General features: G+C 44.2%; 2 annotated features.

Annotated features, from left to right (window-relative positions):
- Nucleotides 5,514-5,663: an enhancer, noted in NCBI's record as "active region_22055". NCBI's record gives its function as "activates an Ori minimal core promoter by ATAC-STARR-seq in GM12878 lymphoblastoid cells {active_cell/tissue: GM12878}" and the evidence as "EXISTENCE:reporter gene assay evidence [ECO:0000049][PMID:35858748]".
- Nucleotides 22,617-22,806: an enhancer, noted in NCBI's record as "active region_22054". NCBI's record gives its function as "activates an Ori minimal core promoter by ATAC-STARR-seq in GM12878 lymphoblastoid cells {active_cell/tissue: GM12878}" and the evidence as "EXISTENCE:reporter gene assay evidence [ECO:0000049][PMID:35858748]".

The raw sequence follows: 25,977 nt of genomic DNA, 5'->3' as shown, positions 1-25,977 counted from the left end.
CCGCCACCACGCCCAGCTAATTTTTTGCCTTTTTAGTAGAGACGGGGTTTCACTGTGTTAGCCAGGATGGTCTCGATCTCCTGACCTCATGATCCGCCCGCCTCGGCCTCGCAAAGTGCTGGGATTACAGGCGTGAGCCACCGCACCCGGCGAATTTATGTTTCTTTTCCTTGTTTTCTTTCTCATTTCCTTGTTATTGGAAAAGATATAGAAGTATACTTTAGAATATTGGCATTTAATTCTGGAAATTGAGTCAATTTCTTAGTAGATGATCTTGGAAACACCCTATTTTTAAAGGTCTCTCTTAAGCTATAAAACAAGGCCTAGCCCCCTAGTCTGGGAAGCAGAAATGATTAGTACTTTTTCAGCTCCATCATCATTTAACAATCTGAAGTGATTCCATAGTAACTCAGCTTCTCCTTTTAGCAATAATGATAGAAGCCTTCGTGTAGTGCTTATGATGTGCCCAGCCCTTTCCTAAGTGCTTTGCATATATTAAATGATTTCATCCTTCCAACAACCCCATGCAATCATTATGCCTATTTTACAGATGGGGAAATTGAGATACAATGTCTGCGTCCATTCTAGCTGCTATAACAAAATACCACAGACTGGGTAGCTTATAAACAACAGAAATTTATTTCTCACAATACTGGGGGCTGGGAACTCTGAGCTCAAGGCAGATTCGGTGTCTGGTGAGGGTCCATTTCCTGGTTTGTAGATGCTGCCTACTCATTGTGTCCTCACATTGTAGAAGAGGCAAGGCAGCTCTCTGGGGACTCTTTCGTAAGGGCACTCATTCCATACATGAGGACTATGCTCTTATACCTAATTACCTTGCAAAGGCCTTACCTCCATCTCCTTGGGAATTATTAATAGGTTTCCACATATTAACTTTATGAAGACACAAACATTCAGACCACAGCACACATAGGTAAGGTATAATTGCCCAAAGTCATAAACCAGTAAGTGCAGAACTGAAATTTAGACCCAGGCAGGCTAGCTCCGGAATCCTTGCTTTCAGCCACCAGGGCAATACTGCCTTTATACCCTTGAGTGAGTGGGAGGTCAGTTGCTGACCACTGGTGTAACAGCGATCAGTAGAAATGTGCACAATGAAAACACTAAATAAAAGCCATTATGGCACCACAAAATCTGTTTTTAAGAGGACACCAATACTACATAACCAACTTCTGGTTATTGCATGTTTCTTTTTCTTTTTTTTTTTTGAGACAAAGAGTCTTGCTCTGTTGCCCAGGCTGGTGTGCAGTGGTGTAATCTCAGCTCACTGCAAGCTCTACCTCCCGGGTTCATGCCGTTCTCCTGCCTCAGCCTCCCGAATAGCTGGGACTACAGGCGCCCGCCACCACACCTGACTAATTTTTTGTATTTTTAGTAGAGACGGGGTTTCACCATGTTAGCCAGGATGGTCTCGATCTCCTGACCTCGTGATCTGCCCACCTCAGCCTCCCAAAGTGCTGGGATTACAGGCGTGAGCCACCGCACCCAGCCTATTGCATGTTTCATAGTTCCAGAAACGATGTCATGCTCAGTAGTGGATACGGGACTTTTCTGTCTAGGTGAGGTAACCTTGATATATGAATTAAGTCATATGAACTTTTGATGCTGTAGGAACTCCCCAAACTAATATCATACTTTAATTTCCATAATTAGAACCTTAATTGTAGTACTTCAGCAACATTTATCTGACTTACCCATCTAAACAATCTAGTTGTAATTTTGGAAAATATGCTTCACAACCTTGAACAAGGCACTTTACCTCCCATGGACTTTTTTTCTTGCCTAGTAAAATAAAGCCAAAAAATGATGTTACCTCTAAGGTCCTTTCCATATCTAACACTGAATGAATTTCTGTCTTGACCTGTAAGCTTGACAGGAGGAAGCCTGAACTTTTTTAATCAATCATTTCTTACTGCTTCAAAATCCACCAAATAAAGCAACTCCACAGCTTCCTGAATCTGTGTGCTTTCAAATTACAGTCATGTTAAGTTTGGCACTTAAAGTTCAAATAAACAGCTACCAGGTCAGCAGTGGGAGGCAGATATTAGGAAAAAGGGGTGATAAAGGAAGATCCGTTCTTTCCTTTGTTGTACACCTAGCCTGCCAGCCTAAGGCCACTTGGCCAAGTTTACAGTTGATAGAATCTGGTGTCCTGTGGGGCCTTCAGCAAGTTTCTTAACCTCTCTGTGCCTTCATTTCTCAACTGTGAAGTAGTCTGCCTTGCAGGTTGTGGCAGAAAAGTGAGTTAGTATATGTAAGGCTATAGAAGAGTGCCCTGCACATAGGAAGTGTTATGCAATGTTGTTTTGTTGTTATTTCCTATATTAAGAAACACAGGCCGGGTGCAGTGGCTCAAGACTCTAATCCCAGCGCTTTGGGAGGCGGAGGCATGTGGATCACCTGAGGTCAGAAGTTCAAGACCAGGCAGGTCAACATGGTGAAACCCCGTCTCTACTAAATATACAAAAGTTAGCTGGGCGTGGTGGCGGGCGCCTGTAATCCCAGTTACTTGGAAAGCTGAGGCAGGAGAATCGCTTGAACCCAGGAGGTGGAGGTTGTAGTGAGCTGAGATCACGCCATTGCACTCCACCCTGGGCAACAAGAGCGAAACGAAGGAAGGAAGGAATGAAGGAAGGGAGGGAGGGAGGGAGGGAGGGAAGGAGGGAGGGAGGGAGGGAGGGAGAAAAGAAAAGAAAAACAAAGTGAGAACCAGAAGAAAGCAAACCCTATGAGTTTGGATGGGCCTGTCAGAAGAGCTCAGGTGATGGCCCACTAAATGCATCCACCAAGTCAACTTTAATGCCAGGCCAACATGAAACTAATGCCCTCATATTGTGAAAATGACCCCATTTCAGTTCTTCCATTTAGACACATGTTGAAATTTCAGGCTCCCAAGTCAAGATAGGGCTTCCTTATTTTTCCTCCAATTACAAAATAAAACAGACCACTAATTGAAAAAGGAGTGCCTTAGGTAAGGACTGATTTGTCTATCCTCCTAAAATCTCCCTTTCTCTTCAAGGACTAATCAATAATAGGAGCAAACATTTACATAGGCAGAGGTTAAGTAACTTCCCAAGGTCACAGATCTAAGCAGTGGAGCCAGGATTCAAACCTGGCAGTCTGACTCCAAAGTGTGTGCTTGTGTGCTACTAACCAAGACATCTTGAGCCAATGACAGACTAAATTCAGTGTGTGTGTGTGTGTGTGTGTGTGTGTGAAGAAGAGAACAAAAGTCCACCCTAAGTGGTTTGAGAGGAACGCCTGCTGGATGGTTGAAGAGGCCCCTCACAGCATACAGAACCTGACAGTTGACTCCACATCAGTGTGAGCGCAGACCTCCCTCTACCCTTCCCTCAGGAAAGAAGCTGCAGAACATGATCAGAGGGGGCCTCCACCAGCAAAGAAAATTGGTTCCATGCGAATCACAGTCCTCACACCCTGGCTGGCCGTGGCAGACACACAGAGAGCAGGGTCTGTCAGCTCAGGAAGAGAAACCAGGCAGGAGGCAAACGGGCCGGGCCGTGGAGAACACGACCCAAAGCAAGTCAACTGCCAACAGTAGCTTCTCGGAAACAGCAGGACGCAGCCCAGACGAGCGAATGCAGCTCTCAGAGGCGCGAGGACTCCAGGCCGCCAGAGCCAAGGGGCAGAATCACAATCAGCGGGTGTGTGAACCTCATGCAGTGGCCCTGGCGGCTGCTGCCAGAGGGCTGCAGAGAAAGGCTACGGCATCGCCCAGCAGCCCTGCTGAGACGTCGGAACTCCCAGAAAGTAGTGAGAAGGGCAAGATGTAGGAGAAAGGACGCTGGCTGAGGATCTGGAGACTTAGATTCCAGTGTGAGCTGCCTGCGGCCCTTGTCCCCTCCCTAGGGCCGCACGTCCTCTGTGAGCACATCAAACTGGAAATTGTGTGGTAGATGACTTGGAGAGCTGAAGCTGGAAGTTTGGTGAATTGGTTAAGAGACTTGGGCAATCATCTGTGCGTGAGGAAATAAGTATCTAGACTAGAGGGTGGCAGCGCGTTACTGCACAGCAATCCAGGGTTTTCTCTCTGCAAGGTGGAGGCCAGTTCTGAGTTTGCCCAATACATTTGAAGGAATGACCTACCCCACCCTCCTTTGAAATTATTTTCCCTTTATGTTAAAGATTGGTTCAGAGCTGAAATTTTATACTGATAGATCAGCCTCACTGCAAAATGTAAATTAAGTTAACTGTAGTATCATTTTATAATAATAAAGAACAACAATAAAAGTGACTTGTTATAAAACCCAGTTTTGGAAATAACTCAAAGAAGCCCACTCTTCTAGTGCCAAGGACGTGATGAGTTGGTACTTTTTTGTTGTTTTGACCACAGGTGGCACATGCCAGCATGCCCAGCTTTTTTTTCTTTTTCTTTTTCTTTTTTTTTTAATAGAGACAGGGTCTCATTATGTTGCCCAGGCTGGTCTTGAACTTCTGGCCTCAAGTGATCCTTCTGCCTCAGCCTTCCAAAGCACTAGGATTACAGGCCCGAGCCACCACGCTGGCAGTATGTTTTCTTGAAGGCAACCCGAATACAGAATAACAGCCATAAAAATGACTATACCCAGCCGGGCGCGGTGACTCATGTCTGTAATCCAAGCACTTTGGGAGGCCGAGGCGGGCGGATCACTTGAGGTCAGGAGTTCAAGACCAGCCTGGCAAACATGGCAAAGCCCTGTCTCTACTAAAAAGACGAAAATTAGCCAGGTGTGGCGGTGGGCGACTGTAACCCCAGCTACTCAGGAGGATGAGGCAGGAGAATCGCTTGAACCTGGGAGGCAGAGATTGTAGTGAGCCGAGACTGTGCCACTGCACTCCTACCTGGGTGGCAGAATGAGACTCCATCTCAAAAAAAAAAAAAAAAGACTATACCCTTTGCCACAACGGTATTCTTAGAAATTTATTTTGAGAAAATAATTTTAAATGAAAAATATTTTACCAGATATTTATGGCAAGGTTATCTGTAATAACTCCAAACTGGAAACACCCAAAATAAATCCAGTAACATGGAAATGGCAAAGAATACTACAATAACTTCAGTAAGAAACTACTCAAGACAATGACAAAGGATTTTTAAAATATTGTAAAGAGAAAAAAGCATAAAAGAATGTTATACACACACAGGAGGTTGGAGTAGAAGGGACTTGGAGGCTGTAAAGTTGAGTAAGAGTGGAGGAAAGCATTTCCCACATGAGCAGGATGTGGGGTTGGGGAGGCAGATCGATACAGTTCCACTTGCAAGGTGTGTGAGTGCTAGGATCAACGCTAATGACGATTGTCCACCTAAACACAAACCGAGAACCAAAAACCTTCGGATGCTGTGGTCATAAGCAATTTGTTAGTTTATGTATTTTTCTATCAAAAGATTTTTAATTTTCAATGGAAAGTGGGGAAAACTTGTGTGTGGTTTAATGGGATACAAACTGGAAGATTGTAGAGTGGGTCATCAAAGAGAAGTGATGGGTTGGGGCTGTGACCCAAATGGGAATGGAGTCAGCGACTGGACTCTTCTCACTAAAGGCATCTGTGGAGCAGGAAACTGGTACACAGGTCACTGGCTCGAAAGCAACAGGGCTCTGAAGAGGAAATGGCTAAGACAGTCTTTCTAGCTGTCAGAGGAAGTTGATGTAATGAAGACAGAACTCTGGAAAAATGTTGCTCAAATACTAAGACCAAATACTTCTGATCACCTCTGAAGAAGAAGCCCAAATCGTATATTAGAGTAAAAAGGTACAAGGTCGAGAGGATTCAATTAAATGTGTGTAGAAGCACTTTGCCAACAGAAAAATGCTTTATAAATCCTTGCCCTGAAAACTAGGGCTTCCCTCTACAAAAAGACTGCAGAGTTAGCCACAGTGTTCTTTAACTATACACTAAATCAGTTGATGGTTTTACAAAGTCTTTTTTTTTTTTTTTTGAGATGGAGTCTAGCACTGTCACCCGGGCTGGAGTGCAGTGGCGCGATCTCGGCTCACTGCAAGCTCCACCTCCCAGGTTCACACCATTTTCCTGTCTCAGCCTCCCGAGTAGCTGGGACTACAGGCACCTGCCACCACACCCAGCTAATTTTTTGTATTTTTAATAGAGACGGGGTTTCACTGTATTAGCCAGGATGGTCTCAATCTTCTGACCTTGTGATCCGCCACCTCAGCCTCCCAAAGTGCTGGGATTACAGGCGTGAGCCACCACACCCGGCCTTACAAAGTCTTATGGTTCTAATTTTGAACAATTAGATGGTATCTATTTGAACAATTAGATGGGATCATGATGGTAAAATCATGATCATCTTCCTATCTGAAGCTATGATATTATCTTGATTATTAAACCAGATTGACTTTTTAGTAGATTTTTGGTGACTTTAAGCCAGCCATAATTAAATTGATGATGTTGCAAATTAGTGAAATAGTATAAAAACACCAAATCAACCATGACTGCCTCAGTACTTTCATAGTTTGAATATTTTAAATAACATAATCACTAATTCATTCATTCAGGATAATCATGAGAGAAGTGCTGTGTCTATGTAAGTACAGTTGAAGTAGGAAACCATTAGAAAAGTACAGAACACTATAGACTTTAAGAAAAGAGAAGCCAGTGGGAGGCTGAGGCAGGTGGATCACTTGAGGCCAGGAGTTCAAGACCAGCCTAGACAACATGGTGAAATTCCAACTCTGCTAAAAATACAAAAAATTAGCTGGGCATGGTGGTGCACGCCTGTAGTCCCAGCTACTCAGGAGGCTGAGACAGGAGAATTGCTTGAACTGGGAGGCGGAGGTTGTAGTCAGCAGAATTTGCGCCACTGCACTCCACAGCGAGACTCTGTCTCAAAAAAAAAAAGAGAGAGAGAGAAGACAGGTGCAGTGGCTCACACCTACGGTTTCAGCACTTTCGCTTGAGCCCATGAGTTCGAGACCAGCCTAAGCAATGTAGTGAGACCCTGTCTCTACAATAAATAAAAATATTAGTCGAGCATTGTGTCCGTGCACCTGTGGTCCCAGGTACTTGGAAGGCTGGGACAGGAAGATCACTTGAGCCTAGGAAGTTGAGGCTGTAGTGAGCTGTGATTGCACCACTGCACTTCAGCCTGGGCTACAGAGCAAGACCCTGTCTCAAAAAGGAAAAAAAAAAAAAAAGAGAGAGATAGAGAGAGAGAGAGACATGAAAGCAAGACTACATTATATAAATCATTCTTTCTGCTAACCTCAATGTGCCAATAACTTACATCTTTTCAAAGGACAACGTTCAGTCTTTCTTGCCTAAGCTCAGCGTTTGGCTTCACAAAGCCTGCTGAATTATGCTAGCTTCATGCTTGCACTTACACGTGCTTACATGTTTCCTTAATGTTTGGCTCACCAGAGCCAAGAGTCCGTTTTTACCTCAAGCCTCAGGGATATCAGGTTTCAACTCATGTTGTTTGAATCTTGTATACATCCCTTTGTGCCTTATTAAAGTGAACATTTTCCATTTGACTTTCTGCTTGCCAATGGGTCTAGGGTTTTCTTTCTCTAATGTTGTTAAACATCCCCTGTAACATGAAGCCCAGATGTATGAGGGTATAGAGCCACGCTTCTAGCTGAGAAAAGTAGTGATCTCAACGAGATACCAATTTATCCATGTGATGAATGTACTGTTTCATTTTTGATGACCTTAATTTAGCATTTATCCCTGGGGCTGGGTTTTGTGTTGTCTTTATAAATACACTCTCTCACACACACAAAGAACCTAGTTCTTTTTAGGCACTTCTCCAGCTGTGAGTTTAGCATGGCTTCCTGCTAATGGGGAGACGGACAGAATTACGGCTCCAAACATTCCCCTGCCGCTGATCCAGAACATGTGTTATCATATCACACATTGTAAACTGATTCCAAATTCCTGCCATCCGGGCACAGCCTGCATTCCAAATTGTCAAGGCTCTGGGACAACGAACTGTAGAATAGAATTTGCCATGGTCCCCCCTTTAATTTGGTGTAAGCATGAATAAGTTTGTTAAAGATATTTTGCTTCTTTAGAATTTTTTTTTTCTGGAAAATAGCTATACCTTAGTGACAATGGGCTACCTAAAATTCCCCAGTCTCCTCAATTGTTAATGTCTCTTCCAATCTCTTGGTGAAGCTTGGTGATCAGGAAATAGGGCAAGATGAGGGGAGCTCACATTTAAGATAATAAAGTGACTCTCGTTCTACTGCTAAGAGACGTAAACAGTCTGACTATGGTAGTCTCATGGGAGTAAAAGTCTAGGATTTCAAATGCTGTATAAACAGTTGCAAAATCTCTGCAATTACTCTAACAAATGAACTCCTAGCACAGAAGACAGATAAGGAATAATATATTTTCAGCTCTGTGCCATTCCATATTGGAGACTGGAGTTTACTATCAATTTATTTATTTTTTTCCTTTTTTTAAGACACAGGGTCTTGTTTTTTTGCCCAGGCTGGAGTGCAGCGAGCAGCACAATCATGGCTCACTGCAGCTTCAAATTTCTGACCTCAAATGATCCTCCAGTCTCAGCCTCTCAAGTAGCTGGAACTACAAGTGTGTGCCACCACACCCAGCTAATTTTTTTTTTTTTTTCAGTAGGGACGAGGTCTCACTATGTTGCCCAGGCTGGTCTTGAACTCTAGGCCTGAAGGAGTCCTCCTGCCTTGGCCTCCCAAAGTGTTGGGATTAGAGGCATGAGCCACCGTGCCTGGCCTATCAATTTATTCTTTCCTTGAAGTAAGTGTGTAGATTAACAGAGTAACATGGCTAAAACTTGTCTTCATGTTTGTGACTTGAGAACTGGAAGTGGAAAGGGGGAGGAGAGGGACCAAATGTCACTAGCAACCTGCCATCGAGAATATGTTAAGGAGAAGCAGGAGGTTGATGGAATCTTCTCAGAGGTCCCTGGTCCCACAGTGTCTGAGGAGCCTCAATTTGGTGCCCATGGTGATACTATTTCATTCCAATAATTTCACTCCACAAGGTCTCTAATGTTTCTTTATGTGGTGAACATTTAGCTCATTCCTTTAAAAACACTAATTAATCATTTTAAATGGACATAAAATTGTATATATTTATCATGTACAACAGGTTTTGAAATATGTATACATTGTGGAATGGCTAAATGAAGGGAATTAACACAGATGTCACCACATATACTTGTTTTTTGTAGTGAGAACCCTTAAACTCCACTCAGCCATTTTTGAGAATACAAAGCCCATTCCTTTTGATCCAACTCTTCCTCATTAATCCTAAGAAATAGCTACATACGCACACACAGAAACACGGAGGTAATTAATACTTTATGATAAATTGGCTAAAGCCAGAGGGTAAACTGCCAGAGCATGCACTCAAAATTTATAGAAGAGGGTTCTGCATATTTTCAAATTAAATCTCATTACATATGTAAGAGTGCTAGTGTTATGCTGTAATAGTGGCTTGGTCTGATTTTCCCCAAATTTATTAGCTAGTGTTAGCTAATAAATAAATACAATCTGGCTAACAGAACAACTACGCCCAAACTATTTTGAAGGTGGTCTGGGATAACAGAGATATGATTCTAGTAGCCTTCACATGGCCTGGCTCCCAGGATTAGCTTATGGTCAACCAGTTGAGTGACTTCAGGCAGGCCACTGACGCTCTCCAGGTCTTTAGTTCTTTGATAGAAAAAATGGAGACATTGAAACATTTTAATGTCTATTTCTAGGTTGATCTCTTTGATCTTGATAAAACCTTTAGAGAATGAAAATAATAATATTTGAAGAAGAAGTATATATTATCAAAATAAACGAACTCTAACCTTATTCTATAATTTTTTTTTTTTTTTGAGATGAAGTCTCGCTCTGTCGCCTAGGCTAGAGTGCAGTGGCGCAATCTCGGCTCACTGCAATCTCTGCCTCCCGGGTTCAAGCAATTCTCCTGCCTCAGCCTCCCTAGTAGCTGGGATTACAGGCACAAGCCACCATGCCCAGCTAATTTTTGTATTTTTAGTAGAGAGGGGGTTTCACTGTGCTGGTCAGGCTGGTCTCGAACTCCTGACCTCATGATCTGCCGACCTCGGCCTCCCAAAGTCCTGGGATTACATGTGTGAGCCACTGCACCCGGCCTAGTCTATAATTTTTTAAAGGTATAATTATATCTGTTTAGGAGTGGTAATACATAAGGTTTTATAGGAAGGAACAATTCAAGTCTTTTTTTTTTTTTTTGAGACAGAGTTTCGCTCTTGTCTCCCAGGCTAGAGTGCAATGGTGCGATCTCAGCCCACTGCAACCTCCGCCTCCCAGGTTCAAGCAATTCTCCTGCCTCAGCCTCCCGAGTAGCTGGGATTACAGGCGTCTGCCACGACGTCCGGCTAATTTTTGTATTTTTAGTAGAGAGGGGGTTTCGCCATGTTGGCCCAGCTGGTCTTGAACTCCTGATCTCAGGTATCCACCCACCTCAGCCTCCCAAAGTGCTGAGATTACAGGGATGAGCCACCGCTCCTGGCCCAATTCAAGTCTTTTTAGGTATAATAGGTGTTTTCATTTACTGAAAAGTCAAATTATGAACAATGGCTGTAACACTAGGTTTAAACTGTGTAATTGTATAGCAAAAAAGTGGATTCTTCTTAAATATCAAGAAGTAAGTCTATATGTTAAAAGGGCCTTTTGAGAAATGTTCTCTCATGTTTTTTCTATTTATTTTAGTAAACAGATATTACGGTCAGCATTTGACTGTAAAAACCAATTGGACAAGCATTAGGAGATATACCTAATGTAAATGACGAGTTAATGGGTGCAGCACACCAACATGGCACATGTATACATATGTAACAAACCTGCACGTTGTGCACATGTACCCTAGAACTCAAAGTATAATTAAAAAAAAAAATTGGACTCATGGACATGAGTCCCAAGCCAGAACGTTGGAACTCTCTGGAAGAAAAGAGGTCTGCTCTAGCTGGTTGTGAGATGAGAGTATTTTCACAACCCCTTTTAGAAGAGCTGGAGAAATTTCTCCCACATAACTTCAAGGAGGAGGTTACTTGGTGGTGGTGTAAGTTGCAGACAAGGACAGATACAATTTATTTATTTATTTATTTTTGAGCCGGAGTCACACTCTGTTGCCCGACTGGGGTGCAGTGGTGTGATCTTGGCTCACTGCAACCTCCACCTACTGGGTTCAAGTGATTCTCCTGCCTCAGCCTCCTGAGTAGCTGGGACTACAGGCATGTGCCACTATGCCCAGCTAATTTTTGTATTTTTAGTAGAGATGGGGTTTCACCATGTTGGCCAGGCTGGTCTCGAACCCCTGACCTCAGGTGATACGCCCACTTCAGCCTCCCAAAGTGCTGGGATTATAGGCATGAGCCAACACACCTGGCCTGGACAGATGCAATTTAAACTAAAGAGGCCAAGGTAGGCCTCATTAAAAAGATGACATTTGGGCAGGAGTTAACCTTGCAGCTATCTAGGAAGAGCACTCCAGGTGGAGCACAGCCGAGGCTTTTGTGGCAGGAGAGTGACTTGTATGAGGCCAGTGTGACTAGTGCAGGATGAGGCCGAGAGTACAGAAGATGAGATGAGAGAGGAATGGATAGAGAGGCCTCTCTCATTCACCTGGCCTGTGGTTCCCCGCAGTGGTCACCACCAGAAAATGCTTGAACCACTTGCCATCACAAAGTCTTCAGATATTTCAAGATAGCGAATAAGAAAAGGGATGTTGAGGCTGGGCAAGGTGGCTCACGTCTGTAATCCCAGCACTTTGGGAGGCTGAGGCAGGCAGATCACGTGGTCAGGAGTTCAAGACCAGCCTGGCCTTGAACATAGTGAAATCCCGTCTCTACTAAAAATACAAAAATTAGCTGGGCATGGTGGCAGGCGCCTGCAGTCCCAGCTACTCAGGAGGCTGAGGCAGGAGAATCACTTGAACCCGGGAAGTGGAGGTTGTGGTGAGCGGAGATCGTGCCACTGCACTCCAGCCTGGGCAACAGAGCAAAACTCCACTTCAACGGAAAAGAAAAAAAGAACAGGGATGTTGAAAGTTCCATTGTGTTGATGCTCTGACTCAAGCTTCTCCCTCTGCGCTGGGCTGGCTCCTGCACCTGGGGATTCATGTGCAGACATTTCAAGAGCTGTTGGTAGACTCCTGAATGAGCTGACTCCACCAAAGGCCTTGCATTACCTAAAGTTACACAGCTGTCAACTCCCAGACAAGCACTCCTGAATCTGAAAGTGCCAGCTCACCTCTTAGAGTGCCAGAAGTTAAAGAATTTCTGGGGGTAAAAATTGGCATTTCTACTTACTGTGATCTGTTGTTGGTTTTTAGATAATTTCTATAAAAGGGAGAAAGACATTGAACTTTCAAAAAGAACGGAGGGAATCTCAGTTTCCCCTGGGCTTGACTGTTTCTCTTCTCTCTCCATGTGATCTCTCTGGGTTCCTCACCCAATCAAATGGTTCCAACTACGGCAGCCCAAACTGTATCTCTGGCCCCAACCTGTCCTCCAGGCTACCAGCTGCATATACAATGGCTCTCCCTGGAATGTGCAGGCTCCTCAAACTCAAAGTATTCAAAATTGAATTAATCATCTCTCCTTCCTTCCCCCTTCTTGCTTCTCTTCTTATATGCTCAAATGTTCAAATTCAAACTAAAAACTTGATGTAATCTTCAACTCCTTCTATTCTCTTAATCCTAAGAGTGCTACTCTGAATTTTCTCTCAAATGTCTGTCCCTCCACTCCCCACTCACAAAAGGACTGCCGACTGTTGCCTCTAACCTCCCTTCACTCCTATCTCTCTCAATGTTGCTGCCAGTAATCCCTCTAAAACAGATTTGACCTAATTAATTCTCTGCTTTAAAACTGTGAATGGGTTCCTGTTGCAGAATGAAGTCCAAATTCTTAGCAGAGCCTATAAGGCCCTTCACACTGATCCTTGGCCACACTTCTAGCATTCCTCTATTCCAATCCCTATCCCCCAGTCACTCCAAACCCCAGAAATGAATTAATTGTGTTCCTAACAACCACACTGGATTTCCCAACTCCGTGATTTTGCTATGGTGTTCTCTCTCCACATGTGCTACCTTATCCTTTCTTTCCTATGCATTTCTACTCATCTTTCAAGACAAAAGATGTCAACTCTTTCAAAAATAATTACAGCTGGGCACAGTGGCTCACTCCTATAGTCCCAGATACTTGGAAGGCTAAGGTGGGAGGATCACTTGAGCCCCCAAGAGTTCAAGGCCAGCCTGGGCAACATAGGGAAACCATGTCTCTAAAAATAAATACGTAAATAATAAATTTAAAAATAGTAATTATAGCAATGATTATGCTATACCAAGTAGTACATTAATCTACCCTAAACCTTGGAACAAGCAATCTCTGCCCTCAAGGAGCAGCAGAGTAGTAAAGCCAGATTTATAAAAAGATTTTATTTTATTTTATTTATTTTTTTTTTGAGACAGAGTCTCATTCTGTCACCCAGGCTGGACGGCAGTGGCGTGATCTCAGCTCACTGCAACATCCGCCCCCTGGGTTCAAGCAATACTCCTGCCTCAGCCTCTCTAGTAGCTGGGATTACAGGCATGTACTACCACACCCAGCTAATTTTTGTATGGCCAGGCTGGTCTTGAACTCCTGACCTCAGGTGACCCACCCACCTTGGCCTCCCAAAGTGTTGGGATTACAGGCGTGAGCCACTGCGCCCGGCAAAAAGATTTTATAACTACATGAGAACAAGATGGCAAGTGCTGTGAGGCTCAGTCCTTTCTATTTGGTGAAGCCTTCTGCAGCTTTCTCAAGTGGAGTGGATGACCTTCTTGTCTACATTTTCTCAAAGTAGACTTGGTTACTTGTCGCCTCTATTCCCTCAGGCAGAGTTGGTCACCCTCTCTTCTGTGCTCCCCTCAGGTAGACTTGATCACCCTTTTTCTATCTCACTTACTTTGTATCCCCAACCCCTAGTACATCCTAAGTGTTTGGTGCATGTTTCAGAACCAGGTAGCACTCCTCAGGATCACTAAGCTCAGAATCTACCTACTTTCCTCCACTGGACTCAGCCTAAATGGCAATGAGCACCAGGACCAGCAGCAGTAGAAATCACCTGGTAGAGTCCTCCTGGAACTCTAGACTAAACTTTACTGCTCTAGTAAACTTTGTTTTTTCTTTCTTTCTTTTTTTTTTTTTTTTTTTTTGAGACAGAGTCTTGCACTGTCTCCCACTCTGGAGTGCAGTGGCACAATCTCGGCTCATTGCAACCTCCACCTCCCAGGTTCAAGCAATTCTCCTGCCTCAGCCTCCTGAGCCAAGTAGCTGGAATTAACAGGCGCGTGCCACCACACCAGGCTAATTTTTTCTTTTTTTTGTATTTTTAGTAGAGACAGGGTTTCACCATGTTGGCCAGGCTGGTCTCGAACTCCTGACCTCAGGTGATTCACCCACTTTGGCCTCCCAAAGTGCTGGGATTATGGGAGTGAGCCACCGCACCCGGCCTGCTCTAGTAAACTTTCTAAAATGTTTGTATTATGCCTTTTCCCCTACTGATGTACAATGGCTTCCCACAGACTATAACAGGATAAAACTGGGATACCAAGTCACTGACAGCTCTATTTCCAGCCTGACAGTAGACAGAGAACATTGCCCACAATTGTCACAGAAGGGTCCTAATATATTTTATCAATTAGATTCATTTAGGCTAATGAAATTTAGAAAACATAGATGTTCCCTGGGAGAATGAAGCCTATCAGTCATTCAGACTTACAGTATTTTAATCAAGTAATTGGAGACACGTATTGATCACTAAGTACCTGATGAGTATGGCTTAAGTATGCATATAACAAGGCAATCGAACAGTTTCCCAACTCTGAGGAACTGAAAACTTTATTTGAAGTGTGTTTTTAAAAGGAATAGTTTTAGGACAAAGTGTAGTTTGGAGGAAGACATTTGGTTCTTCCTGATACGTTTGGCTGTATCAGTGTAAAGTGAGAGCCATGGGGCATCAGGGGGACAGGACGCTGAACAGTGAGGATGGCATCCATGAGGGGTGACAGGCATGCAAAGATGTGGGTAGGAGGGACAAAAGAGAATTCTTTTTTCTTGCTCCTTTTTTTTCTTGTTGAGGATTCGGATGATACACTTTTTTTTTTTTTTTTTTTTTTTAATGAGCCATTTGTAAATCATTTAGGGTTGTCACAGCCAGCACGATATGATCAAATTCAAACCTATTCAGGTTTTCATTTTCTTCCCCACCTGCGTTAGGTCAAAAATTACTCTCACTCTAACTTGCCGAACTTGCCCCTGCTTCCCCTTTTGGGTCACTCTGCTTACCAGGGGCTGTTATGTCTCTAAAACCTGTCCATCCCCCACTCTTTTTTTTTTTTGAGATGGAGTTTCACTTTTGTTGCCCAAACTGGAGTGCAGTGGCACGATCTCAGCTCACTGCAACCTCCACCTCCTGGGTTCAAGCGATTCTCCTGCCTCAGCCTCCTGAGTAGCTGGGACTACAGGAGCCCACCACCGCACCCAGTTAATTTTTTGTATTTTTAGTAGAGATGGGGTTTCATCATGTTGGCCAGGCTGGTCTTGAACTTCTGACCTCAGGTGATCCACCCGCCTCGGCCTCCCAAAGTGCTGGAATTACAGGCGTGAGCCACCGCACCTGGCCATCCCCCACTCATTTATTCAGTCAACAAATATTCATCAAGGACCAACGTTAAAGGAACCGTGTTGGGAGGGGCACGAGTGAGCACTAAGATGGTCTCGAGGCGCATCTTATTCTTGGGGTGCTTGGGTAACTTCTCCTCCATTTAGTCTCCATTGATAGTTTGGACGTTTTCTGAATAAGCAAATCAACTGCCTGACATGAGGTATGACAATGGCTCAGGGTATTTGAAATCAGGTCTGCTCTGGAAAACGTAGTTTAACATCTCCATTGTTTATCCTACTGTCATACTGTTTCAACTATAAGGAACTGAAGAAAGCAATGCTTTTCTTCATCTGGGCGGTTGCTTTTAAGGTGAGACCAGCCTGGGCACGGTGGCTAATGCCTGGAATCCCAGCACTTTGGGAGGCCGAGGCGGGAGGATTTCTTGAGCCCAAGAGTTCTAGATTAGCCTGGGCAATATAGTGAGACCTCATCTCTACAAAAAAAAAAAAAAAAAAAAAAAAATTAGCCAGGCATGGTGGCATGTGCCTGTAGTCTTAACTGCTCAGGAGGTTGAGGTGGGAGGATTTCTTGAGCCAGGTAGTGAGCCGAGATCATGCCACTGTACTGCAGCCTGGGCACTGGGTGGCAGAGCAAGACCCTGTCTCAAAAAAAAAAAAAAAAAAAAAGACCAGCCAGACCAAGTGGCAGGAAGCGGTGGGACTGACAGTGAGAAAATCGCAGTGGGGGAGTGGGTGACACTCAGCAGCCCCACTGGGACAGAGCTCCTGCTCACACCAGCGATTCTTCTCCAGAAACCTATTCTGGCAAACCCTTGGTGAGTTTTATTTTAAGCGGCGTTTACAGACACTACTACTAGACTTTTAAATTAACAGGATATAAATAACCTTGGGCAAGGTATCAGAGAAGAACCACTGTGAGAACTCCACGACTAAAGTGTGGGCAAAGGTATCTATTAATAGATAATGAAACTGAAATCACTTAGTCTGAGCGAGAGAAAGTTTAAGATCTACCTAAGAGGGATCTTTAGTGAATAAAAAGTCACAGACGAGCAATAAACCAGTAAGAAAGACATAGTCCTTCATCCACTCCACTTTAGAATCGCTTTTTTGAAAAAATAAAGGTGGAGTTTCACCATGTTGCCCAAGCTGATCTGGAATTCCTGGCCTCAAGGGATCTGACTGCCTTGGCCTCCCAAATTGCTGGGATTACAGGCGTGCACCACTGTTCCCGGCCTAGAATCCCGATTTTTAAAAAGAGGTAATAGAATTACTCCTAATTTTGTCAAAACAAAGTTGAGAAATGAAGGGTTCCTAAATACTATCTGCTGGATATGACTTATAGAGAAAGCAGGAAGGAACCTCTGCACTGAGAGTAGGAAGAGATTTTAAAATGCCCCTAAAATGTACTTAATGCCGCACAGCTATACACCTAAAAATGATCAAAGTGGTAAATTTAATTTTGTATATTATAACCACAGAAAAGTACCCATAAAAGAAAGTTAGAGCTAACACATTTCCAATTGCTAAATAATGTCAGTTTTAGAAAAATTAATATTTCATAGCACTCAAAATATATGAAGCCACATGCTTTTGTAAGACTGGTAATATCTTTCATTTTCCTGCAAAAGCAAAGGGCTCTTTAAAGGAGACATGGAAACTGTCATAAAACAGACTTGAAGTCAGATGCAGAATGATAGGCATAGAATGGATCATCAATACACCATCTTCTTGTAGAATTTTATTCAAGGTTTGGGAGCAGTAAACCAGCGAGTGTGGTTGGGCAGGACAGTGTATTTTTTTTTGAGATGGAGTTTTGCTCTTGTTGCCCAGGCTGGAGTGCAGTGGTGTGATCTTGGCTCACCACAACCTCTGCCTCCTGGGTTCAAGCAGTTCTCCTGCCTCAGCCTCCTGAGTAGCTGGGATTACAAGCATGCGCCACCATGCCTGGCTAATTTTGTATTTTTGGTAGTGATGGGATTTCTCCGTGTTGGTCAGGCTGGTCTCCAACTCCCGATCTCAGGTGATCTGCCCGCCTCAGCTTCCCAAAGTGCTGGGATTACAGGCGTGAGCCACTGCACCTGGCCAGGACAATGTTTTTTCACATCAGGCAAAAATGTCCATGAGATCTGAGTCTAGAAATATGAATCTCTGGGACTGTATTCTCCAATTTTTCTCTTTCAGATCTTCTTTTTTTTTTTTTTTTTTGAGACGGAGTCTCGCTCTGTCGCCCAGGCTGCAGTGCAGTGGCGCGATCTCGGCTCACTGCAAGCTCCGTCTCCCGTATTCACGCCGTTCTCCTGCCTCAGCCTCTCGAGTAGCTGGGACTACAGGCGCCCACCACCGCGCCCGGCTAATTTTTTTTTTTTTTTTTTTTTTTTTGTATTTTTAGTAGAGACGAGGTTTCACTGTGGTCTCGATCTTCTGACCTTGTGATCCGCCCGCCTCGGCCTCCCAAAGTGCTGGGATTACAGGCGTGAGCCACCGCGCCCGGCCGCAGATCCTCTTTCCTTCACTCCCAAACTTAGATCTTCCAGCTTTATTCATGAAGCAATCAGTGCGCAACTAACTTTTAAACTGCAGGGAGCTATACAGTTTCCTTTCCTTCAGCTATCTTGAAGAGGCAGAACACTTGCCCTCCTGGAATACAGAGGTCTTCACTGTTTCAATCTGCTGGAAAATAACTTTACATTAAAACAACTCACGATGAGTTGTGAGAAATGTGAAAGGATTGCCTCAAAAAAAAAAATCTAAAATCTTTTAAAAATTAAAAAGGAACTGGGTGTGGTAGCACACACCTATAATCTCAGTACTTTGGGAGGCCAAGGCAGGAAGGTTGTTTGAAGCCAGGAGTTCGAGACCAGCCTGGGCAGCAAAATGAGACCCTGTCACTACAAAAATAAAAAATAAATTAGCCAGGCATAGTGGCCCACACCTGTAGTCCCAGCTACTCAGGAAGCTGAGGTCGGAGGGATCCCTTGAGCCCAGGAGTTCAAGGATGCAGTGAGCTATGATCAAGCCACTGCATTCCAGCCTGGGCAACAGCAGAGCAAGATGCCATCTCAAAAAAAAAAAAAAAAAAAAAAATTAAAAGGCTTAAAAACTATAGTGTCTACTATTTCCCTTTTGTAATTTCTGAGTTATATCCATGGGAGACAGATCTGTGTATTGGCTGTAAGTATATGCTGATATTTTCTTAGGTTCCTGCTCTGGGCATTACTAGATGGGCCACTGTGTTATTGATAAATCTTGGTGATGCCTGGTTGCTGTGTTTAACAGAAATTTCATAGCTCAATGAGTTTTGGAAACTATTTTCAGGGCCAGCTGATCATTTAAAAACCAAGGTGAGACTGATCATGCAGCCTCCCCAGCTGCCATTACAGCAGGTGCCCTGCAGCAAAAGGACATTTTGTGGCCGAGCGCCATGGCCCAAGCCTGTATTCCCAGCACTTTGGGAGACTGAGGCAGAAGGATCACTTGAGGTCAGCAGTTCGAGACTAGCCTGGTCAATATCGTGAAACCCCATCTCTACCAAAAATACAAAAATTAGCCAGGTGTGGTGGCGGGCACCTGTAGTCGCAGCTACTCAGGAGGCTGAGGCAGGAGAATTGCTTGAACCCAGGAGGCGAAGGTTGCAGTGAACCAAGATTGCACCACTGCACTCCAGTCTGAGTGACAGAGTGGGACTCTGTCTCGAAAGAAGGAAAGAGAGAAAGAGAGAAAGAGAAAGAAGGAAGGGAGGGAGGGAGAAAATTTTGGTTTGGGGGAATAAGGTCAAAAGACGCCATTATGGCGAGGAGAATGTTATTTTAGTAAAAGTCACAGACTTTTGAGATTAAGGATAGAGCCGAGAGGAAGAAAGTTATTAATCTGTTTCTCTTTCTCTAAAGACCAGAACCCAGTTCAACACACACAATAAAAGTGTTCAAAATTTGGGTCCAGGAGAGGAATTCCTGTCTAAAGAATTCCATTTGAGAGGACTGCTTGAGTCCAGCAGACTGAGGTTGCAGTGAGCCAAGATCGCGCCACTGCACTCCAGCCTGGGCGACAGAGTTAGACTCTGTCTCAAAAATAAATAAATAAATAAATAAAACAAAACAAAATAAAATAAAATGTTAGGCAGGGACCTGGCTACAGTGACTGCGGGGCTGATGAGAAACTACTGAAGTTTTGGGGGAAGCAAAGCAGAATTTCATAAGAACAGTGTATGGAGAGGAGAAACCCTGTGGTGGCTGAGGAGGCCCCGAGGCCATGGATGTCAAATTGATATCTTCCAATGGTGATAACTTTATTGTAATGGTAAATTCCACTTGAAAGCACAGACGCATGCCTCCTCCTAGTTTTGTTACCGTGTATTCCAAACAGAAAACCATTGTGGGGGTAAAGGTTCGGAGAGGGGAGGGAAACGGGGATCAAAGGGATAGAGGATTTAGTTGAATGCTCAGTTTCATCCACTAACTGAGGGAAGTGTCTAAATTTGGTCTCTTGCCTGTGAGATTAAGAATAACTCACCCTAAACTGGGTGCAGTGGCACACACCTGTAGTCTCAGCTACTTTGGAGGCTGACGCAGGAGGATCACTTGAGGCCAGGAGTTCCAGGCTGCCGTGCGCCGTGATTGCACCTGTGAATAGCCACTGCACTCTTGCCTGGGCGACACAGGGAGAGCCCTCTCTAAAAAACAACAGGCCGGGAGCGGTGGCTCACGCCTGTAATCCCAGCACTTTGGAAGGCCAAGGTGGGCGGATCACCTGAGGTCAGGAGTTCGAGACCATCCTGGCCAACATGGCGAAACCCTGTCTTTACTAAAAGTACAAAAATTAGCCGAGTGTGGTGGCGGGCGCTTGTAATCCCAGCTACTCAGGGGGCTGAGGCAGGAGAAGCTTGAACCCGGGAGGAGGAGGTTGCAGTGAGCCGAGATCGCACCACTGCACTCCAGCCTGGACGACAAGAGTGAGACTCCCTCTCAAAAAACAAAACAAAAGGAAACACAACAACAACAACAACAACAAAAATCCCACCCTAGAAAGTAAGAGGACTTTGAACAATGCTACCTTGAAGCCCAGCTCCAGCCTCCTTTTGCAACCTAATGAATGCTAAAAAGCCTATTCAATGCTGTGGCAGTTTTTTTGTTTTGTTTTGTTTTTTTGAGATGGAGTCTTGCTCTTGTCACACAGGCTGGAGTGCAAGTGGCGCGATCTCGGCTCACTGCAACCTCCACCTTCCTGGGTTCAAGCGATTGTCCTGCCTCAGCCTCCCAAGTAGCTGGGATTACAGGAGCCCGCCACCAAGCCCAGCTGATTTTTTTTTTTTTTTGTATTTTTAGTAGAGACGGGGTTTCGCCATGTTGGCTAGGCTGGTCTCAAACTCCTGACCTCGTGATCTGCCTGCCTCGGCCTCCCAAAGTGCTGGGATTACAGGTGTGAGCCACCGTGCCCGGCCGTGCTGTGGCAGTTTTAAAAAAATGATGTGGATATGCAATTTTTTTAGAAAATGATTTTTAATATCATGTCTCCCTTTAAAAAGTGTAGGCGCATTCAGCCTAAAAAAGGAAATTCTGACACCTGCTACATCATGGGTGAACATTATGCATTATTGAATAATCACAAGGGCCAAATTCTGTATGATTCCAATCATTCGAGGTACCTACAGTAGTCAGTTCATGTGACAGAAAGTAGAATGGTGGTTGCCACGGGCTGGGGAGAGGGGGGAATGGGGAGTTATTGTTAATGGGTACAGAGTTTCAGTTTGGGAAGAGGAAAATAGTTGTGGAGATGGATGGTGGGATGGCTGCACAATGTGAATGTACTTGATGCCATTGAACCGCACACTTAAAAATGGTTAAAATGGTAGATTTTACTCATATATATTTAACCACAAAGTAAAACATTTTTTTAAAGTGTAGGCCTTCATCTGGTGACAGTTCATTTGCTGGCTCATTTCTAGATATTTTAACTGGGTGGTAATTTATGTCTGGTTCTTATAACATAATGTAAGACCCATAATTTGGTTTAGCTCTTAGTTAATATCTTTTGAATTGCAACTGGGGACTTGACAGTGGCTTTCTTGAAACACACCTGCAGTTTGCAAGCTGCCTGCAGCAGGTAAAAATGCGCAGTTTATTTTTATGATTAGCCTTGAGCAAGAGCTGATTAAATGCTTGATAAAATAAGTTCTTGGAAGACTTGATTTACATGGTGCTTTCCTCCTGCTTTCCCACCCCCTTTCCTTCCCTCATGAATACCACATAAAAAGCGGCAGTTTGTAATTTTTTCTCCTTTTTCAAGTATTAGTATCAAAGTAGAATGGGACCTTCATGCTTCTTCTGAACACAGTCGGGCTGCATTCCACTCTGGGAACACTCCCTCCTACCGTTTCAACCTAGGCAATCCCCTATCAAGGAAAGGGCAACTTACCCAGTCTCAAAATCAGAGTCTAAGCACAAATAGGACATTTCCTTTGTACCTTTCCCCAAACATGATGGTTTCTTTTGGGGAAGGGGTGTTGGGGAGCACACTGGGAAATAAAGCCTTCTGGTCCCCAAGTTCCTCTTTCAATTTCTGTGGTTTTCACTTCCCCTCCCATAAGAAATCCCCACGTGGGAGTAATGCTTTCTCCTCTTCCTTCCCTGTCATTTCCCTTTCATTTCTCCCCGACACCTCTCCTGGGTTTGTCTACCTGCTACTGCTACTTTCTCTGCCTTCACATCTTTATTTTTCATTTGTTTATTTTTTAGAGGCAAGATCTCACTGTGTTGCCCAAGGTGGCCTCAAACTCCTGGGCTCAAGCAGTCCTCCTACCTCAACCTCCCAAGTAGCTGGGACTACAGGCACGCCATGCTTGGCTGTCTTCATGTCTTGAGTTCCATTTCAAAAAAGGCATTGGCAGGCTGTCTTTATACCAAACACAATGCTCTACTTTCAGTATTACTCTTCATATTTGCAGTTCTCATTGGTCATTCTTGGCACTTTTTCACACCACAGACCTTGGGCGAGAATTTCCGGTTTCCCTTCTGGCTGCTTTCATTTGCTCTCCACCACCAGAGTTCTCTGGCGCTCTCTGGCTACTCACAGAGGAATTTCACAGAGGAGGTTGTGCCTCCCGCTGTTTCTCTGGAGCTACGGGTCCCCATTTCACCTCAACGGTGGCTTTTCGAAAAGTAAAAATGAAATAGAGCTTTATTGCGTAAGTTACCTCTGAAGCCAAAAACCTCATTAGGGCCTTCAAAAATTCCTGTCAAAAATTCCAATCCTGTGGCTCATACCTGTAATCCCAGCTACCCAGGAGGCTGAGTCAGGAGAATTGCTTGAGGCCAGGAGTTCAAGACCAGCCCGGTCAACCTAGTGAGATTCTGTCTCTATAATTTTTTTTTTTTTAATTAGCCAGGCATGGTGCAGCTGGCCTGTAGTCCTATGTACTTGGGAGGCTGAGGTGGAAGGATCCCTTGAGCCCAGGAGTTGGAGGCTGCAGTGAGCCATGCCAGTGCCACAGCATTCCAGCCTGGGTGAAAGAGTGAGATGCTGGCTCAAAAAAATAAAAATAAATAAAAATAAAAACATAAAAAAATTCCAGCACTTTGGGAGGCCGAGGTATGCAGATCATCTAAGGTCAGGAGTTTGAGACCAGCCTGGCCAACATGTAAAACCCCTTCTCTACCAAAAAATACAAAATTAGCCAGGTGTAGTGGTATGCCCTTGTAGTACCAGCTACTCAGGAGGCCAAGGCAGGAGAATCGCCTGAACCCAGGAAGTGGAGGTTGCAGTGAGTCAACATCATACCACTGAACTCCAGCCTAGGTGATACAGTGAGACTCTGTCTCAAAAAAAAAAAAAAAAAAATTCCAAACCTATCCCCTACATGAGCTTCTAAGCCTCATCTCAGTTGACTCTGTTTAAATGACTCTGACTTGGACTGAAAACCCACCCCTCCTGTATCTTTTCATTATAGGGTGGTGGCATGGTTAACCCTCATTCATTCACACCCCGCTATTCCAAAGTGTGTAGAATTGCCTGGACATGCTACACTAAAGTTTATTTCTGCACTTTGTTTTTCTTTTTTGCTTGCTTGTTCGAGACAGGTTCTTGGTCACCACAGCCTCAACCTCTTGGGCTCAAGTGACCCTCCTTCCTCAGCACCCCCAGTAGCTGGGACTACAAGCCCATGCTACCATGCTCAGCTAATTTTTTTTTTTTTTTTTTGTAAAGACAGGGTTTTATTATGTTGCCAAGGCTGGTCTCGAACTCCTGGGCTCAAGCAATCCTCCTGCCTCAGCCTCCTAAAGTGCTGGGATTACAGGTGTGAACCACTATGCCTGGCTTGCATTTTCTGTGTTTTGTTTTGTTTTGTTTTTTTGAGACGCAGTCTTGCTCTGTCACCCAGGCTGGAGTGCAGTGGCATGATCTTGGCTCACTGCAACCTCTGCCCCCTGGGTTTAAGTGATTCTCCTGCCTCAGCCTCTCAAGTAGCTGGGACTACAGGCGCGTGCTACCACGCCCAGCTAATTTTGGCATTTTTAGTAGAGACGGGGTTTCATCATGTTGGCCAGGATGGTCTCAGTCTCTTGACCTTGTGATCTGCCTGCCTTGGCCTCCCAAAGTGCTGGGATTACAGGTGTAAACCACGGCGGCTGGACTTAATTATTTATTTATTTATTTATTTTTTCTTTTTGACATGGAGTCTCACTTTGTCACCGAGACTGGAGTACGGCAGCACGATCTCGGCTCACTGCAACCTCTGCTTTCCCGGGTTGAAGTGATTCTCGTGCATCAGCCTCCTGAGTAGCTGGGATTATGGGCGTATGCCACCATACCCAGCTGATTTTTGTATTTTTAGTAGAGACAAGGTTTCGCCATGTTGGCCAGGCTGGTTTTGAACTCCTGGCCTCAAGTGGTCCGCCCACCTTGGCCTCCCAAAGTGTTGGGATTACAGGCGTGAGCCACTACGTCCAGCCCAGGGTGATTTTAAAAATACAGATCCTAAACCACTCAATGGTTTCCCATTATGTACAAAGTCCAAAATCTGTGGCAGTTCCTACAAGCCTTGAAGGATGCGTCTAATTCTCCGGATCTCCCTACAACCTACTCCTTTTTCTGTGCACAGGGCTCTGACTTTTCTGTCCTTTCAAAGTCAGGTTTTTCCCATGGGAAATGTTCACAGATGCTGTTCCCTCTGCCTCCATAAAGCTTTAGGTCTCGGTTTAAATGTCATTTTCTTCTCTGAACTTCCTCCGATCCCATGCCACTCCAATCCTCAGTTAAACTCTGTTCTAGCACCCTGCTTTTCCCATCAGGGCACATATTACAAGTGCTATTTATAGATTTTTGTCCAATGTCTTCCAAACTAGGCCACAATCTTCATGAGAATTTGATCACCATTGTAACCTCCAACACCTACTAAGTGCCCAGTAAATACTCATTGAGTGAAAGAATGAATGAAAGTACCAATATTCATCACACTCTTACTTCCTGAAAGAATCCTCAAATTATCACCTCATAGAATATCTGATCTTTCTTGTACTCTTCTACCCTACTACAGGAAAACACTTTACCTTTTAAAGAAAATTTAATTGACAAATAATAATCATACACGTTTATGGAGAACGTGATGCTTTGTGAACACTGTACCCTTAAAGCTCAGCCCTGATGGTGGATCTCTTCCTCTGCAAGGCAAATTAAGATGCCCCTGGACAGTTGCTGTCTTTCTCCTGACCTCCCCAGTATCCTCTGAAAATCTTTATTACAGTGCTTATTGACATGCACTACCAATTCGATTTCTGTTTCTGCACCAAGACCGATTATCTTTCGGACTCAGACCTTGCCATTCCTCTTTGTGAATGGTATAAAGTAGGCATTTCAAAAGTGACTGGAGAAGCTCTGGTGTTCCAAGAATCTCTTTTGTAGAAAAAAAAAGTTTCAGCTTGTTTAATTTCCATAGTTCTCAAAAAGTTACAACTATCCCTTAGAACAAGGCAAATACTCCAGGAGAGATTTCTTCTTAAGCTTTACAGTAATATATTAAATAATGCTTACATCCAACCCTTCTTGAGAGCTGGCTTTGACAAGTGAGTGGAAAAAGAATGAATGCTCTGCTTAATTCTGCTTTTTATCTTCTCTCTCTCTTAGAGAAACTGATCTAAAAAGAGAGGGTGGGCCAAGCACAGTGGCTCACGCCTGTAATCCCAGCACTTTGGGAGGCCGAGGTGGGCAGATCACCTGAGGTCAGGAGTTCGAGACCAGCTTCAACATGGAGAAACCCTGTCTCTACTAAAAATACAAAATTAGCTGGGCATGGTGGTGCATGCCTGTAATCCCAGCTACTA

This window comes from Homo sapiens, chromosome 4 (assembly GCF_000001405.40).
Source record: "Homo sapiens chromosome 4, GRCh38.p14 Primary Assembly".
Classification (NCBI taxonomy): Eukaryota; Metazoa; Chordata; class Mammalia; order Primates; family Hominidae; genus Homo; species Homo sapiens.
The sequence above is the reverse complement of the archived record's forward strand: the minus strand, read 5'-3'. Positions and strand labels throughout refer to the sequence as shown.